The sequence below is a fragment of the Homo sapiens genome, chromosome 1 (genome assembly GCF_000001405.40).
Source record: "Homo sapiens chromosome 1, GRCh38.p14 Primary Assembly".
NCBI classification, from domain to species: domain Eukaryota; kingdom Metazoa; phylum Chordata; class Mammalia; order Primates; family Hominidae; genus Homo; species Homo sapiens.
The window spans coordinates 85039390-85057681 of record NC_000001.11 but is presented as its reverse complement, the minus strand read 5'-3'; the positions used below and the strand labels follow the sequence as shown (position 1 = coordinate 85057681).

General features: G+C 40.7%; 1 protein-coding gene across 8 annotated transcripts in view, besides 2 other annotated features; it reads left to right on the top strand.

Moving 5' to 3' along the window:
- Positions 8781-8920: a silencer, noted in NCBI's record as "silent region_1030". NCBI's record gives its function as "represses an Ori minimal core promoter by ATAC-STARR-seq in GM12878 lymphoblastoid cells {active_cell/tissue: GM12878}" and the evidence as "EXISTENCE:reporter gene assay evidence [ECO:0000049][PMID:35858748]".
- Positions 8951-9700: a silencer, noted in NCBI's record as "silent region_1029". NCBI's record gives its function as "represses an Ori minimal core promoter by ATAC-STARR-seq in GM12878 lymphoblastoid cells {active_cell/tissue: GM12878}" and the evidence as "EXISTENCE:reporter gene assay evidence [ECO:0000049][PMID:35858748]".
- MCOLN3 (mucolipin TRP cation channel 3) overlaps positions 9182-18292 on the top strand; it is a 30419-nt gene continuing 21308 nt past the window's right edge. For 2 of the 8 annotated variants that reach the window (XM_011541741.3, XM_047424402.1), the window contains exons 1-3: positions 9417-9494; positions 12320-12549; positions 16505-16672. In XM_011541741.3, coding sequence (XP_011540043.1) covers positions 9425-9494; positions 12320-12549; positions 16505-16672 — 468 coding nt within the window. In that variant the 5' untranslated portion in view covers positions 9417-9424. Of the gene's footprint in view, positions 9287-9416; positions 9495-10072; positions 10108-12319; positions 12550-16504; positions 16673-18292 lie in introns of those variants that run through there. The other 6 variants (XM_005271003.2, NM_018298.11, XM_011541739.3 and 3 more) reach the window with 6 other exon arrangements.

Sequence of the window (18292 nt, the reverse complement as noted above, 5' to 3'; positions counted from 1 at the left end):
CTAAGGGGCATTCTTCAAAAGATACCAAACTTCCCTGTAGTGAATTGTGAATAGGTTGTCAGTTAGTTTGGGTTTCCATAGGGAAATTTTTACATGCCAGGAGAGACATAAATGTATTCTTCTCTCAACCAAATAGCTTCAGATATGAAATAAAATCTATGTTGAAAAATTTTGCCATGTAAAAGTACCAATCATGAGGGTCAACCAAAAGGCAATACTCCCATTCCTGAGTTCAGCCTGCGTTGATACCTACATTTTGATTTAATTTTTTCAAGATGGAGTCTTGCTTTGTCACCCAGGCTGGAGAGCAGTGGCATGATCTTGGCTCACTGCAACCTCAGCCTCCCAAGTTCAAGCGATTCTTGTGCCTCAGCCTCCTGAGTAGCTGGGATTATAGGTGTGTGCCACCACGTCCAGCTAATTTTTTTGTATTTTTAGTAGAGATGGGGTTTCACCATTTTGGCCAGCCTGGTCTTGAACTCCTGACCTCAAGTGATCTGCCTGGCTTGGCTTCCCAAAGTGATGGGATTATGGGCATGAGCCACTGTGCCCGGCCTGATACTTATATTTTGAATAGTTCAGCACTCTCCCCAAAAGTTGTCTAGTTTGGAAAAGTGTGTTTTTAATAAGTTGTTTCAAATGTAAAGAAAGAATATATATGTTTATTAACAAAAATCAGTTTTTCCCTATTTCCACTAGAAAAACAGTGAACACATTTTTAAGGGGTATTAGTATGAACAGATACCAAATTACTAGCCTGTCCAGATTGCCCACAGATTTTAATCTGTCCCTTCCTCATAGCATTGCCATGAAAAACCAGATAGTGCTTCAAATGTGGCATATTCTCAATGAATAGCTGTGGAACCAGAATTAATCAAAATTCTGTTCAAAATGAATGTATAGACATTACTTCTGTCCTTTGGTGACTATTAAAAGTAGATTTGAGTATCCAACTGTCTACGAGACATTTCCACTTGGATGTTTAATACATAGTTATCTAAAGCCTGGCCTTTCCTTCAATGCCAGCCAGGAAATATTTGCTACTAGACCACTAGTTTATGAAATAATTGTTACCCAGCTGCAATAAAAGTAGTACTGAAATTGGGTGTTTAAAAACTTTTTAGCAAATTGACACAGTAACTTTATGTTATGTATGAACAAAATTGAGATTCGTATTACAAACGTCCTTATTTCATTCTTTTAGCAATTTATTTATGTTGTAATTTTACAGAATTATTAGTCTGTGAAAGAAATGAAAACAAAACCAAGTCAACTAACCCTTTAACAGATAGTCTGAGAAGCACTTTACAGACATCTCAAAAACACACTAAAAACTGAACTGCTGGTTCTCCCCAGATACCTGCTCCTCCTGCCATCTTTTTCATCTTAGCTGATGGCAATTTCATCTTCAGGGTCACTTTGCACAAACTTAAGAGTCATACTTCACACCTCTTCTTCCATCCTTCATACTTTTAGGATATATTTTCAACATTGCAGTCAGAGGGATGCACTTTTAAAACAAGTCATATCATGTCAGTCTTCTGCTCAATACCCTCCAACAGCTCCAATTTCATTCCATTTAAAAGCCAAGGTCCTCACAATGGCCAAGGTCCAGCATAACCTGGTTCCTGTTACAAGCTTCATTTCCTACCATTACTCCCTGCAGCTCACACCACTGCAGACACACTGGTGTCCTTGAGGTTACTCAAACACACTAGGTAGGCATCTCCTCTTTTGCATTGGCTGTTCCCTCTGCCTGGAGAACTTAAACAAGATATCCTTCAAGTTTTTGCTAAGATGTTAACTTCTCAGTGAGGCCTACTCTCCACTCTTTTTAAAATGCCAACTTCTCAGCCTTCCTCATTCTCCTTTCTCCGTTTTATTTTTACTCATAATATTTATCACCTTCTAACACACTATGTACTTATGTTTGACTGTTTTTGTCCACTAAAATGTGAACTCTACAAGGGCAGGGATTTTTGCCGTGCTTACTCCTCCTGTCCCAGTGTCTAAGTCTATGTTGGCATATAGAAGGTATGCCACAAATGTTCATTAAAGGATTTGGAACAACCACCTTGGAGAGTAATTTGGCAGTATATATTAACTAAAAATGAATACCTCCTATAATCTAGCAATTCTACTTCTGGATATTTACCCTAGAGAAAATTTTACACACGTGCATAAGGAAATGATTCATGGATGTTCACTGCTGAATTTTTTTTGTTTTTTGTAATGGCAAAAGATGGCAGAAACCTAAATGTCCATCAGCAGTAAAATGCATAGAATGATATGGTATAATCAATAAAATGGCATACAGCTGCTAAAATAAACTTGGATGGATATAGCTTAAGACAAACTGGTAAGGTAAGTGATAAAGATTAGGTACAGAGCAATGCTATCTTTGTAAACAAAAACATGCATGAATGATTCCTATATATAATGGGAACATATATTCAAGAAAAGTATTACAAATGGACTGAAATGATTCACACCAATTCATGATAGAAGGTTGCACTTGCAGAGGGTTGGTGTATTAGTCCATTCTCACACTGCTACAAAGATACTACCTGAGACTGGGTAATTTATAAACAAAGTAAGTTTAATTGACTCACAGTTTCACATAGCTGGGGAGGCCTCAGGAAACTTATAATCATGGCAGAAGAAGCAGGCATCTTCTTCACAAGGCGGCAGGAGAGTGTGAGTGTGTGAAGGAGGAACTGTCAAAAACTTATAAAAACATCAGATCTCCTGAGAACTCACTCACTATCATGAGAACAGCCTGGGGGAAACCGCCCACATGGTCCAATCACCTCCCACAGGGTCTCTCCGTTGACATGTGGGGATTATGGGGATTACAATTCAAGATGAGATCTGGGTGGAGACACAGCCAAACCGTATCAGTTGGTTAACTTTATAATGCTTTATTCCTCATAAATTAGGAAGGCCAAAAACAAAAGAAAATATAAAATTTGTTCAATTTGGGGGGTTGTGGGTATTGAATGGCATTAATGTATTGTTATTTTTGTACTTTTCTGTATTTGAAATTTTCTCAAAATTAAAAAATCATCTTCTAGACTGTAAGATCCTTAAGAACAGCAACTATATTTTATTAATATTTTCATTGGCAGTATCTAATACCATTACTGAAAAATAGGAGTCCTCAATAAATACTCGCTAAATATGTATGTGTTAAATAAATAAAAATTTTGTTGAGAGAAAAAGAAGAAATTAAGGGGAGAAAGATGAATGGTACGGATGTAAGAAGACAGAAACGTAAAAAGTATTTTGGGTTTACAAATGTGTGATTTAATACCCAGGCTACCTGACATTTTCAGCTGAGCTGTTATTCTAAAACAGATAGGAATTTTGAATGCGAAGATAAGGAGTGAAAAAAGCTCCCTTTCACCCAGCAGATATGAAGAATGTCATAGAGATCTATTGGCTTGAGATTCAGGAGCAAAAAATTGGAATTCTTGAAATCATAAGTTATTTTGTAGTTTTCATAACACTTTACATGTTTTAAAAACATAATGAGTAACCATAACAATAAACTGAATCTTTTCTGTGCTAGGATTATACTAAAAGTTTCAGAGGTTTATTTTGGTTTAAAAAAGATAATAAAAGCATGATTATTATTATCAGCCAACATACTGAAGAACAGTATATATTTGATTATATATGATAATGATCACTACCTGTCATAGATATTTCATAGTAAAAATCATTAAAGGAAGGAAGCATCAATGCAAAATAAATTCTAAATAAAAAATTCTAAATTTTAATTAAAAAATAATTCTTCAAGTGACAATTTAAAACACATAAAACAATTTCCTTATCTGATAGATTTCATCTTTGCTTTGTGACAGATATTCCAGATGAGAGAAAATTTCTCTCATTTTGCACTTCATGTCAGTTCACTTGTTAAACGTGCTTCCAAAGTATTATCAGATTGGACGTTGGGGTATCTGTTGCTTTATATAAGCTCGTTTACTTTTTTAACAAAAAAAATATTTTGTTTTACAAAGAACTAAACCCTTCAGTGAATATTCAAACTATGGAAAATGCAGAAAACAAGATTGGGTATTCAAATACAGTTATGCATAGCTTAATGATGGGGATATGTCGTAACAAGTGCATTGTTAGGTAATTTTGTCGTTGTATGAACATCATAGAGTGTACTTACACAAACGTAGATGGGATAGCTTTCTATACACCGAGGCTATATAGCGTAGCCTATTATTCCCAGGCTACAAACCTGTACAGCATGCTACCTTACTGAATACTGTAGGCATCTGGAACACAGTGTTTAGTATTTGTGTATGTAAACATATCTAAATATAGAAAAGGTACAGTCAAAATATGATATAAAAGATTAAAAATGGGGGCCGGGCGCGGTGGCTCACGCCTGTAATCCCAGCACTTTGGGAGGCTGAGACGGGTGGATCACAAGGTCAGGAGATCAAGACCATCCTGGCTAACACGGTGAAACCCCGTCTCTACTAAAAATACAAAAAATTAGCCAGGCGTGGTGGCAGGTGGCTGTAATCCCAGCTACTTGGGAGGCTGAGGCAGGAGAATGGCGTGAACCTGGGAGGCGGAGCTTGCAGAGCTGAGATCGTGCCACTGCACTCCAGCGTGGGCAACAGAGCGAGACTCTGTCTCAAAAAAAAAAAAAAAAAGATTAAAAATGGTACACCTGTATAGGAGACTTACCATGAATGAAGCTTGCAGGAGTGGAAGTTGCTCTGGGTGAGTCAGTAGGTAAGCAGTGAGTGAACGTGAAGGCCTAGGTCATTACTGTACACTACCATAAATTATAAACATGTACACTTAGACTACACTAAATTTATTTTAAACATTTTTCTTCCTTTAATAATAAATTAATGTTAGCTTACTGTAAGTTTTTTACTTTATAAACTTTTTATTTTTGAGACAGGGTCTTGCTCTGTCGCCCAGGCTAGAGTGCAGTGGCACAATCATGGCTCACTGCAGCCTCGACCTCCTGGACACAGTGATTCTCCCACCTCAGCCTCCAGAGTAGCTGGGACTACAGGCACATGCCATCATCCTTGGATATTTTTAAAAATTTTTGTAGAGATGGGGTCTCCCAATGTTGCTCAGGCTGGTCTCGATCTCCTGGACTCAAGCAGGCCTCCCACCTTGGCCTCTCAAGTGCTGGGATAAACAGGGATAAGCCACCTCTCCTGGCCTAAAATTTTAAATTATTTATTCATTTATTTATTTTTCATTGCACAATGGAAATGGTATGAACTTTTATTTATTTTATTTTTATTTTATTTTTGTTTGAGACGGAGTCTCCCTCTGTCACCCAGGTTGGAGTACAGTGGTGCAATCTTGGCTCACTGCAACCTCCGCCTCCTGGGTTCAAGTGATTCTCCTGCCTCAGCCTCCAGAGTAGCTGGAACTACAGGCACCCACCACCAAGCCCGGCTAATTTTTGTATTTTTAGTAGAGACAGGGTTTCGCCATATTGGCCAGGCTGGTCTTGAACTCCTGACCTTGTGATCCACCCACCTTGGCCTCCCAAAGTGCTGGGATTACAGGCGTGAGCCACCGTGCCTGGCCAAACTTTTAAAATGAGTAAACTTTCTTTTGTAATAACACAGCTTAAAACACAAACATATTGTACAGCTATACAAAAATATTTTATTTATATCCTTATTCTACAAGCTTCTTTCTATTTTTCAATGTTTTAAAACTTTTTTTTGTTAAAAACTAAGACAAAAACACAGACATTAGCATAGGCTTACACAAGGTCAGGATTAACAATATCACTGTCTTCTACCTCCACATCTTATCTCACTGGAAGATGTCCAGGGGTAATAACAGGCATGGAAGTGTCATCTCCTATGATAACACAATCTTCTTCTGGAAATCATCCTGAGGCTATTTGACAGCTGGCTTTTTTTTTTCAAGCAGAAGTATACTCTAAAATAATGATAATAGTATAGTAAATATGTAAGCCAATCACATGGTTGCTTATTATCATTGTCAAGTATTATGTACTGCACATAACTGTATGTTCTACACTTTTATAGACTGGCAGTGCAGTAGTAGTTTATTTACACCAGCATCCCCACAAATAGGTGGATAACGCATTGCTCTACAACGTTATTGCGGTGACATTATTACATCACTAGGTGATAGGAGTTTTTCAACTCTGTTATAATCTTATGAGAAGTGTTGTATACGTAGTCAGTCGTCCACCAAAATGTGTTATAATAGTAAGATACCATTTGGATATTCTAGCAACAACAAAAGCATTACATAGAAACATATGTTGAGGCCAGGTGGGGTGGCTCATGCCTATAATCCCAGCACTTCGGGAGGCCGACGTGGGTGGATCACCTAAGGTCAGGAGTTCAAGACCAGCCTGGCCAACATGGTGAAACTGCATCTCTACTAAAAATACAAAAATTAGGTGGGCATGGTGGCATGTGCCTGTAATCCCAGCTACTCGGGAGGCTGAGGCAGGAGAATCACTTGAGCCCGGGACGCAGAGGTTGCAGTGAGCTGAGATCGAGCAACTGTACTCCAGCCTGGGCAATAGAGCTAGACCCTGTTTCAAAAAACAAAAACAAAAACAAATGTATTCTATGACTATAAATGTATTGATGTTTATTTACAAGAATGACTCACTGACAAGTCCAGAAACACAAACTTATAACATTGTAAAAGTTAAAAGCAAGATTGACTGATAAGATCTTTACCGCTTCTCTTTTATGCACTCCTCTCTTGCTTTCCAGGAATGTTTATGTAAACCTTTGATGTCAGCGTTTCCTGTCTTTCTTTTGATTTGGTTTCAATATATTCCTTTAAGCCAGTAACATCATTATGTTGATTGTTAAGGTTTAATATTCCCCTTTACATTGTTTTAACATCTTTGTCAGAAATCAATTGACCATATATGTGTGAATCTATTTCTGGATTCTATTTTGTTCCATTGCCTATGTGTAGTCTATATGTCTGTCTTCACCAGTACCAAGTTGTTTAGCTTAAATAGCTTTATAGATATAGGTAGGATAAATCCTCCAGTTTTATCTTTCTTTTAAAAAATTGCTTTGGTTATTCTGGATTCTTTGCATTTGCTTCCATAGGAATTTTAGAATCAGGTTGTCAATTTCTACAAAACAGTTTGCTAGAATTTTCATTGAGATTGGGTTGAATCTATAAATGAACTTGGTGAAAACTGACATCTTAATAATACTGAGTCTTGTAATTTATGAACATGGTTGATATTTTCATTAAGTTTTCCAAATAAAAGGGGGAATCAGCATTTATAAGCACATCACATATGCCTCATATAGTAATGGGTGCTTTACATGTATCATATTAATTAAAAATCACCATTCCTTTTATTAGCTAGATTGTGTTAGGGACAAGCTACCCCAAAAAAGCTTCTTGGTACTGCCAACACCCCCGCCCCCCACCCCCGCAAACCTCTCCGTACCACCCCTCCTCTTCCCCCAAACCTTTTTACATTTCTAAGCCCCTATCTAGGCACCGCGGTGAAGCCAGGAGACTTTTACCTATCAGGTCTTGCTGCTATAAAGCAAACCCAATTACAAACCATCCGGACTGCACAGTGGGAGGTCGTGGGAAGTATAAACAAACTTTACCTACACCCTCCGGTACCATAAACGTCACAAGGTGATATGTGGCAGAGTTAACCAACAAACAACTCCAGGGTCTCTCTCCCCCACATAAAACCCTCATTTTGTAAGCTCAGGGCTGCCTCCTCTGTCTGTAATGGAGCAGCCGGCAGGTTGAATAAAGGCTTGCCTGAACTTGGGTCTCGGTCTCTCTCGGTCTCTCTCTCCCTCTCTCTCTCTCTCTCTCGTCCTTTCTCTCGGCTAACTTCACAGATTGCACATAAAAAAGAAAAGGGGTTCAGAGAAGGTAAGTAACTCCCTAGAGACCAATAAGTGGCACAGAAGGGAATTTGGGCCCTCATCTGTCTGACTCCAAAACCTGGCTTTATCTATTCACCGGTCCTTATAACTCAGCTAAAACGAGGGTTAAGCAAGTGCCATCATTTATGACTGTGAACCTCTTCAAAGTTCAGATTGTTCCTGAACAATCAAGCATTTCAAACTCTTACCATCAAGTAAGGAGATAGCGTTACATCGTGTGTAGGCATATGGGGATTAAAGATTACATTATATTTTCCAAATTGCACTTGAGAATTGACTGTGCCAATTATATCCTTTCTGGGTATCTACCTTGTTCACAGTATGTGGGATCCAGGTTGAGGAACAGCATAAAATTCTTGTACCCTGTTGCAAAAATTTATTAGTAATCCATGCATACTGGTTTAGGATTTGAAAACAGGTTTTATAAAAGGTTTGCTAGGTATCGATCTAATTTCAGGAATACCCTAGTAGGGAAATTCAGTGACCTTTACAAATTTACCCGTGGCCAAAAAAAAAAAATAAGTAAAAATTAAAAATCAGAACACATCCAAAGTAATTATAATTAAAATTAACCAAAGTTCCTGATCCAATCCTGATAAGGGGTATTAGGTTTAATATTTACAGATAATTTATGAAGAAAAAGATTACGGTTCAAAGTCTACTTCAGGTATTTCTATTTACATTTCTTGGAAAAGTTTCCCAGGGCTCTTTCTGCCCCAGCCGCCAATCTACAGAAGAGTCTAGTCGACTGTCCACTCATTTCACAGCACTTGTCTGAAACTAGAAGACCCAGGGAGGGAACAAGGTTCAGGCTTGAAACGCTAAGACATTCAAGATTTCACCTTGTATGCAAAAATCAGAATGGGAGGCTGCAGCGGGGCCTCACACTCACCGGAGCTAGGCGCTATAGATCCCGCACCCGCGGAGCCCGGCAACCACCTGAGGGGCCTTGGCCAGGAGGGGGTGGCCCCCCGGCGCCGGCGGCAGCTCCGGAGCAAACCTGGCAAACCCGAGCAGGGCGGTGCGGGTTGCTCAGGGAGAAAATGAAGGGAGTGATAGGGTGGGGGTGGCAGGGAACGGGCACAACGCCGGCTTCCTCCGGACGGCCTCCTGCGTCCCACCTGTGCTCCTGAAAAGCGGCCCCCGACAGGGCGCGGCGGGAACCCGAGCCGGGAGTAGGGTCACGAGTTAAAGCGGCGGGGGCGGGAGGATGCGCGGGCGGCGGACGGGGCGCTCTCCTCCCGTCTGACTCTGGGCGGAGCGGGGCTCGAGGCTGCTGGAGTCGCTCGCTGACTCGCCCTGCGCCCTCGCCGCGGACACCGGAGCTGCGGCCGCTCCCCGCTGTCCCCCAGGTGAGCCCGCGGGGCGCTGCCCCGGGGCGTCGGGTGTCGCGGGAACGGCGCCCGCGGCGCACAGGGAGGGCCGGGGAGGCCGGGAGGCAGCGAGCTGTCGGGGACGCCGCGGGAAGGCCGGGCCGGGCAGTCGGCGCCATGGAGGGCAGGCGGGCTGGAGCTGGGCGCGAGATGCAGCTGTTCCGCGCCGCCCCCAAGCCGCCCGCAGGTCAGTGGAGGAGCGCGCCTGCCGGGCCTGCCCGGGGCTGGGCGGGTGGGGGTGCTCTGCTCCTCGGTCCCCCTCCAGGCCGCCGCCCACCTGTGGCCAGGGCTCAGAGGGCTGGAAGCCACCCCCGCCCGGAGCCCCTGGGCTGGAAGGCTTGGATGCCGGCCGGGGCTCCAGATGGCCTTGACGCGGCTCGGCTGGCCCCTTTCAAGGCGGACTGTCCCCCTGTTAGAGGTGGGGGCGGCTGGAAGTGGGGGCTCAGGCCCGGGTCGCTGCGCTGGCTGAAAGCAGCCGCCAGCCGGGCTGCGGCCGTCTGAGCTCCACGGCAGTGCCCGGGGATGGCAGCGACCGCTCTGGGACATCGCTGCAACCCTGCAGATCTTTCTCGCACACACTACCCAACAAAAGTGTCAACCCTTGTTGTTTGTTTGTTTGAAAAAAAAAGAAGACTGGAGAGACTAAAGTTTTGTGTCTGGTGAAGTGGGAAAGCGCTTCTGAAAAAACGAGGTTGCATAACTTTGTCGCCAACTGGGAGGCCTTTGCTATTTATACACTCCCGGGCTTTCTCCAATTTTCTACAGCTTACTCCAATCAAGCCTCTGCCCGCCAGGAACAGGTAACCTGTGTGTGTCCGTTTGCTCCTTCTAAGAGCATGCCTGATAGATACTTCGGTAGCCTCTCCGGATGGCCCCTTCGTCGGGTAGCCTCTCCTGATGGGGTCCTTCGCCCACCCTGCCTCCCGCGCCGGCGCTCCGGGTGAATGTCAAGGGTGGCTGGCTGCGAATACCTCCTTCAGCTGCTGGGGTTCCCGACAGTTTGCAGTTTTTAAAAGTGCACCCTCGGAAGGGCTTTTCAGACTGGGTAAACCTGACTTTTCCAAGGTCAGCATCTGGTCCTGGTGAATGAAATGTCTACCGGGACAACTCGTTGTGATGTGCTGAATATATGCTGGTTGGCTTGTTTTCTCTTTGTTCCTGTGGATTACTGTACATGGTGTGTGGCTAGTTTGTTTAAAATTTAATTTTCCCTGTATCAAAGTGGAAAGCGCTTAGTGTCAATATACAACTCACCAACATGCTTATTAACAGCTTCATCATTATGTTGGTGTTCATATGCGAGCTTTGGTCAACATGAAATCATCTGCGTTTTAAGTCCTATAGATAAAGTCTCCTTAAATGCTGGTTAAAATATCCTGCCTTTTTGAAGGAAGTAAAACTGTTAAGTGAAAATCCTAATTTATTAATAACTTTTTCTTTCCTTTATGCCTTTACCTAAGAATTACTGCATTTATGCTTTGACAGGCATTTTAACACGCACACAGGAGCCACACTTTAATGAGTTATATAATAATTATTTCATTTTGAAGGTACTGCATTTGCCATACAGTAAATATGTTTTATGGTTTATTCATCCAGCAGTATCCTTATTAATCTTTTCATTAACAAGAGTTTAAGAACCTTCCCCATGCTATTCTTTATAGCCAGTATCTATTGTTCGGAGATGTTGGGCTTCCTAAGAATGCTTGAATTGGAATCAAAAGTGGGGTTCTAGACTTGGAAAGCAGCATGGTATCTAACCAGTGACTTGTAAGATATTGTATGAATGCAGGTTACAATTTTCCTTCTTCATTGCTGAGTACAAGTTATTATTAAAATGTCAAATAAAGCCTGCCTTTCTATTCCGTATGGAAGGACGCTACTCATTGTTTGGGGTATTTTACTTTGAACAGGTTTCCATAGTATAATATCAATCTTAGTCTGAGGGAAAATCCAAGATCCATCCCAGTCTCTAGAGTGACTTCTCCGTCACTTTGAAAAAACTGATTCTGAAGACAATAAAACCAGCCCGACCCAACCCTTTTCAAACGTACCTGCCCCCCCCCCCAAATAGATATGAAGTACTTTGAAAATATGCTATAAATATAAGGCCTTCAATAAAAAGTCATTACAAGCGATGCCACAGACTGGGAATTAGGCTTAAATTGAGGGCCCATTTTCCCCTTTGTACAACAGTTATGTTTCCTGAGGCTCATACTGCCCCTTAAGAACCTTACTGGCTTTCTAGGAAGCCACCCTGTCTGCTGTGGGTGTTAGGTAGGTGAGTCTGCTTAGCGCTAGACCCTATGCAAAGGCTTTGTTTACTGTTTTATTTAATGCTCTCTACACTCATAACTATTTAATTCTGGCTACAATCATAGAAGGGTAGGTGTAGTTATTCCCATTTTGCTGGAGAGGAAACTGAGGCTCAGAAGGGCTAAGTGATTTCCCTGAGATTGCAGAAACGTCAAGTCATGGAACCAGGATTAGAAACCAAACTGAATCTTGTTCTTTACACTACACCCTGCTATCTTTAACTCGGTGGTTTTAAACATTTTTTGATAATCTGTGAAAGTTTTAGTTACCTCCCAGGAAAAAGTGTCCACAGCCACATATATGAAAGTTTTCATATAACTTCAAGGCCCACCTACCCTCTGAAGTCCTTCCCCCAGGTCCTCAGGTCTCTGATCCTCTAACTATACTGAGTGAGGCAGAAAACATATACATCCTATATATATGTACATATAATCTTTTACTAATGGGAGCAGCCCTTGAATTTGGTAACTTTGAACTAGGTGAAAATTCACTTTGTAATTAAAACAAATAAAAAAGTGACGTCCTACATTGGAACTGATTCTGTAAACATCTAAAATGCAGTTTAGAGCAATGGTGCTTATTTGAAACCAGGACTTCTGTATGGGCTTCTCCTTGCAATATTAAAGAATATGGACTTGTGTCTTTACTCACTAAATGGAAATGTTGGTTGTTGTTGTTGTTGTTTTTTTCCTCTAGAGATGGCAGATCCTGAGGTAGTTGTGAGTAGCTGCAGCTCTCATGAAGAGGAAAATCGCTGCAATTTTAACCAGCAAACATCTCCATCTGAGGAGCTTCTATTAGAAGACCAGATGAGGCGAAAACTCAAATTTTTTTTCATGAATCCCTGTGAGAAGTTCTGGGCTCGAGGTAGAAAACCATGGAAACTTGCCATACAAATTCTAAAAATTGCAATGGTGACTATCCAGGTAAGCATCTCAGATCATGAGTTTGGTGAAAGCCTCTTTTAATTACAAAGATAACTATGGACAGTGGTTTTTTTTTTAAATAACTTTTAACTATATGCAAAATGTTGAAGAGTAACAGATAAGAAAACATACAATCTTAGACCCTTCTGTCTTCAACATTTGTGAAAGAGTTTGTCTTCTTTTTTCTTAGTTTTTTTCTTGTATCGTTCGCTAAGTTATAATTTTAGTCACATAATCTAATTAATTTTCAGGAAAAGAAAACTAATATTTGGCTTCCAATGAAGAGGTTCAGCTGGTTTCTAAATAAGCCATGGAAACTAGTGTTGTCCAACATTAGGACTTTCTTTTCCTTCCTAGTTAGTTTCCTGGGAATTTCTCTCTTCAGAAACTTAAAGGGTTCCTGCTACAGGCAAATTCTTAGATTCTCACAACCCTGTGATCATGAGAACCATGCAATGGAAGAATGTGAAGTTAACTAACAGAAGAGGAGTGGCAGGAGCTAGTGAAACACAGGACCTCTTTTTAGTTCAAAGGGAGCTTTTAAATCACATTTCCTTGGCTGCTTTTAATATTTTTTTGGGGGAAAGGGGGAACCATATTTTGTGATTCTTAATATATACTGGTTGTGATTTATTCTTATGAAAATATGTTTTCCTGTTGGTCAAATTATCTCTTGCTAAAAGCAAAGGGCAAAATAGAAGCAGATTTTAGTGAGAAAAATAGATGTGATAGGTTTATTTTTATTATTACTTACTCTTCCTAAGTTGGTGAAAAATGCCTAAGTAAATAAACAATTGGTATTGAAGGAGAGATTAAAAAAAACAGGATATTACTAATTTTAACTGCTTATTGAGAACAAACACTTATGATTGTTAGGGAACCAAGGCAATTTTTACAATCATATGAAGTTGGTAGAATTCTTGCTTGTTTCTAATGCTAGGTGTTGTATCAAGGGAAACAAACATTTAGTGACTACCCTGTTCCAGTACATTATTTCATTTAATTCTAACATTCTTACTGGCTCATTTTACAGAAGAGGAAACTGATGTTTGTAGAGCTCTTTTAAAGTCACATGGCTTGGCCAGGCAGGGTGGCTCATGCCTGTAATTCCAGCACTTTGGGATGCTGAGGTGGGTGGATTGCTTGAGCTCAAGAGTTCCAGACCAGCCTGGGTAACATGGTGAAAACCTGTTTCTGTAAAACATACAAAAATAAGCCAGGTGTGGTGATCACACCACTGCACTCCAGCCTGGGTGACAGAGCGACACCTTGTCTCAAAAAAAAAAAAAAAGTCACATGGCTAGTCAGTGGCAATATCAAGACTTTGAAGGCAGGCATTCTCTCTATTATATTACCCTGAAAATGGATGTTCAGTTCTCAGCCAAATACTTGGCAAGTTGAAATTGAAATTCTTAACTTCTGAGTGATAATATGGTGTGTCTCAATAGTGAAAAGTTTAGTTTCTTATAAAGGAGAAAAGCCTGTATCAATTGAACATGAATATTTTCTACTTAGAATAATAATAGGTACCACTTGAGTGTTTGCTGTATACCAGGCTAAACATTTTATAGATGTCATCATGTTCAATTCTTTTTTTTTTTTTGAGATGGAGTCCCACTCTGTCACCCAGGCTAGAGTACAGTGGCGCCATCTCAGCTCACTGCAACCTCCGCCTCCCGGGTTCAAGCGATTCTCCTGCCTCAGCCTCCTCAGTAGCTGGGATTACAGGCACACACCACCATGCCCGGCTAATTTTTGTATTTTCAGTGGAGATGGGGTTTCACCATGTTGGCCAGGCTGCTCTTGAACTTCTGACCTCAGGTGATCCATCCACCTAGGCCTCCCAAAGTGCTGGGATTACAGGCGTGAGCTACAGTGCCCGGCCCATACTCAATTCTTAAAACAAGTTGGAGGGTAGGTAGTGGTATCCTCATTTCACAGAGGAGAACAATGAGGGTCTTGGTAAGGAAAAGGACCCTGTCATAGTCAGGAAACTAGAAGAGTAGAACTGATATTCAAACTCAGATTTATTTTCTCTAAGATTTATGTTCGTAATTACTTCTTAATTTTTAGGGAGCTCATCTACCTTCCTATGTTTACTAAGGTGGTCAAGGGAAAACTGAACAATGGTTTAAGATATTAAGGCTGCTAGTAATAAGCATGTAAAAGGTGTTTAGGTAAGTTTTTAAAAGGAACTGAGGGTTTCTTAATTGTGATGTTTCCTTAATTTATATCAGAGCAATCAAACAAATATTAGATAAAGACAGCTTTGTAATTGAGCAAATGAAGTGAGCAAATGGTGACAGATTATCTCAGGGAAAATGAGGTGGTCCTTCTGTTAAACTGGAGATTTTGTGTCTGCAGCAGCAAAAGAAAGATGTTTACAATGATAGACACCCTACTAAAAATTTCTCTTTTCCCACTACCTGGCTTACTCTCTGAATTACAGCAGTTTTCTCTCAGCCATTGTTATTCCTGTCTGCCACTAAACCTTTGAGGGCAGGGACCAATTGTCTTCTCATTGTATCCTCAGTCCCTAGCTCACTGCTGACACAGGAGAGGTACTCATGTATTTGAATGACTGGTAAGAATATCTTTGGGAATTCTTTGGGGCTGTTTGGTCATCAGCTTCAACAGATGCAAAATCCCTAGAATATCAAGATGTCATCTTATTGAGGACAATTAAAGAAGCTCTGCAGAAAAGAGAGTTAGGTGCAGAGTGATGATATGTGTGGGGTGCAGACCATATATCATATGTGGAAGGGAGAGGGGAAAAGATTTGTCTGCTGTATTTTTTCTGATCAAACCCTGGATTACTTTGTGTAGCATGACAGGGTGGATAGAACCTAGATTTAGTGTGTCAGACATGGGTTTCAGTTTTCACTGTATCAACACTGGCTAGTGATGTGACTTGAAAAAACTATGTAACTTCTCTGAGCCTCATCTCTAAAATTGGTGTATGAGGAATACACCGCAGGATTAGTATGAGGAAAGTTCCTGGAATAGTGTATGGCACATAGGTGCTCAACATTGTTCCCGCCTTCCATATAAAATATACTCTGCCTCACTCTGGGATTTAAGTAAGGGTGTAGTTTCTCAATTTACAGCATGTACAGCATGTGGTGTGTGTGTGTGTGTGTGCCTGTGTGTGCTGTGTGTGCATTTGTGTGTGTGAGAGAGAGAGAGAGGTTTGGATGAGAGGGAAGAGAAGACAAAAGAGAGACTTAAGAGTATGGTAAGCTTTTTTTTTTTTTTTTTTTTTGAGACGTAGTTTCGCTCTTATTGCCCAGGCTGGAGTACAATGGCACAATCTCAGCTCATAGCAACCTCTGCCTCCCGGGTTCAAGCAATTCTCCTGCCTCAGCCTCCTGAGTAGCTGGGATTACAGGCATGCGCCACCATGCCTGGCTAACTTTTTTATTTGTAGTAGAGATGGGGTTTCACCATGTTGGTCAGGCTGGTCTCAAACTCCTGACCTAAGGTAATCCACCTGCCTTGGCCTCCCAAAGTGCTGGGATTACAGGCGTGAACCACCACGCCCGGCTGTATAGTAAGCTTTTAGGTATAATTGAAAGGCCTTAGGTTAATATGACAACAGTGCAGTGAAACCTTTTGTGTGTGTCAACAACTGAGTTTCACGTAAAATGCTGAGGTCAATCCTGCGTGACTATTAAGGACACATTATGTTAATATACTTTAATTTAAACATGAGTTGAAAGGGTATTTTCTATTTTTGGTCTTCCTGTCATGGTTTTGGTGATTAGACCTAGGAATATAGTTTGGTCATAGGACTTGGACTTTCTTAATTTATTATCCACCTGCTGCAAAACCTTCTTGATGTCCCAGAGAATTCATTTTAAACTCTTCTATTTGTTGTTCAAGCCCCTGTACCTTCTGCTCTGCTTTTTCTGCCCACATTTTCCACCCTCTTACCTTTTCTTTTTTTTCTTTTAAGCTGGTCTTATTTGGGCTAAGTAACCAGATGGTGGTAGCTTTCAAGGAAGAGAATACTATAGCATTCAAACACCTTTTCCTAAAAGGATATATGGACCGAATGGATGACACATATGCAGTGTACACACAAAGTGACGTGTATGATCAGTTAATCTTCGCAGTAAACCAGGTAAATCAAGTGTGTGCATTATTTACTTGGGAAAAAGAACAGACTGGAAAAATGGTGGCAATGTACATAATAGAAACTGACATTCAAGTGGAGAAGGGTGAACATTTCTGCTTGGAAATGACACATACAAAATTATTTTTAATTTTTTAAAAATATTGTCAACAAATTTTTATAAAACCAGAAGTTGAGAAAAGCTTTTGTTTAGTAACAGAAAGGCAGAAACTTTGAAGATTTAATTAAAAGAATCAGAGTTAGGGCTTGGCATGGGAGTCTCAAAGATTGAAATTACTAACTATGACCCTGGGTATAAGTAGTCATTAAGTCCTCAGAGCTGAAAGTATACTTTCAGGGCCTCTTAACAAATAATGAGAATATTAACTTTTCATAGTTTGTACAGCAACCAAGACCTAAAAATTCACTTGAAAGTAAGGCCTTTATGTCATACATGACAATGATTTTATTGTGACATTGACTAACTGCCAAACAAAAAACAAGCTTGTTTTTCATATAGATGAATGCTGTATTTTATTCTGAGTTTGTAATATATATTTTTGCCAGAAATAATATATTTTTCTCAAGACCCCAAATTTTTAAATCTCTAGGTGTCATTGAAAGCGTCCTTGAAGTCAGCATTCCCAGACTGGGTTAGTTTGAAGGACACATTTCAAAATTATTACAATTTTTCTTCAGAAAATTATTATCGTATAATCATGGCTATTCATTTTCTAGAGACAGTCTATGCACAGTAAGATGTAAACTGCTAGGATAAAATACATATTTATGGCATGAAGTCTTTCTGTTAGCACTGGGGTTGGGAAAATGAGCCAGAAATCTAAAGTAATAGAAATAAGTTACATAAACTGTTCAACAGAACTATGTCCTACAGCTTGTAGGGGGAAGAAGGCATAATGATGGAGATACTCCGTTTTTAGAATTTTAAGTATATTACGTTTCTCTAAAGCTAGTCTGATCTAAACTGGTAGTTTGGTGTTTTTCGAGGGGTGGCGGGGAGTGGGATAGAGGCAAGAGGTAAACAGTTCATTAAATTTTTTTTTTTTTGAGACAGGATCTCACTCTGTCACCCAGGCTGCAGTGCAGTGGTGCAGTCACAGCTCTCTGCAGACTCAACCTCCTGGGCACAAGTGATCTTCCCACCTTAGCCTCCCAAGCAGCTGGGGCCACAGGCATGCACCACCATGCTTGGCTAATTAAAAAAAAATTTTTTTTATAGAGACAGGGTCTCCCTATGTTGCCCAGGTTGCTCAAACTCCTGGCCTCAAGTGATCCTCCCATCTCAGCCTCCCAAAGTGCATTAAATTCCTTATAAATCATCTTAACCTTTATTCGTAGACCTAGACTCAGTCTTCAAAATGTAGTATTTGGCACTTAGGCCATTCTGCTTTTTCAGATTTCCACATTCCTTCTGGAAATGCAGGTACCTGCTTTATTCTAGTTGTCTTGGTCTGTTCCTTCTGCTGCAACAAAATACCTGAGACTAGATAACAGACAAACAACAGAAATTTCTGCCTAATAATTCCGGAGCCGGGGAAGTCCAAGATCACTTACCTTACCACTGGTAATGGCTTGCACCTTCTTGCTGTATTCTTACATGATGGAAGG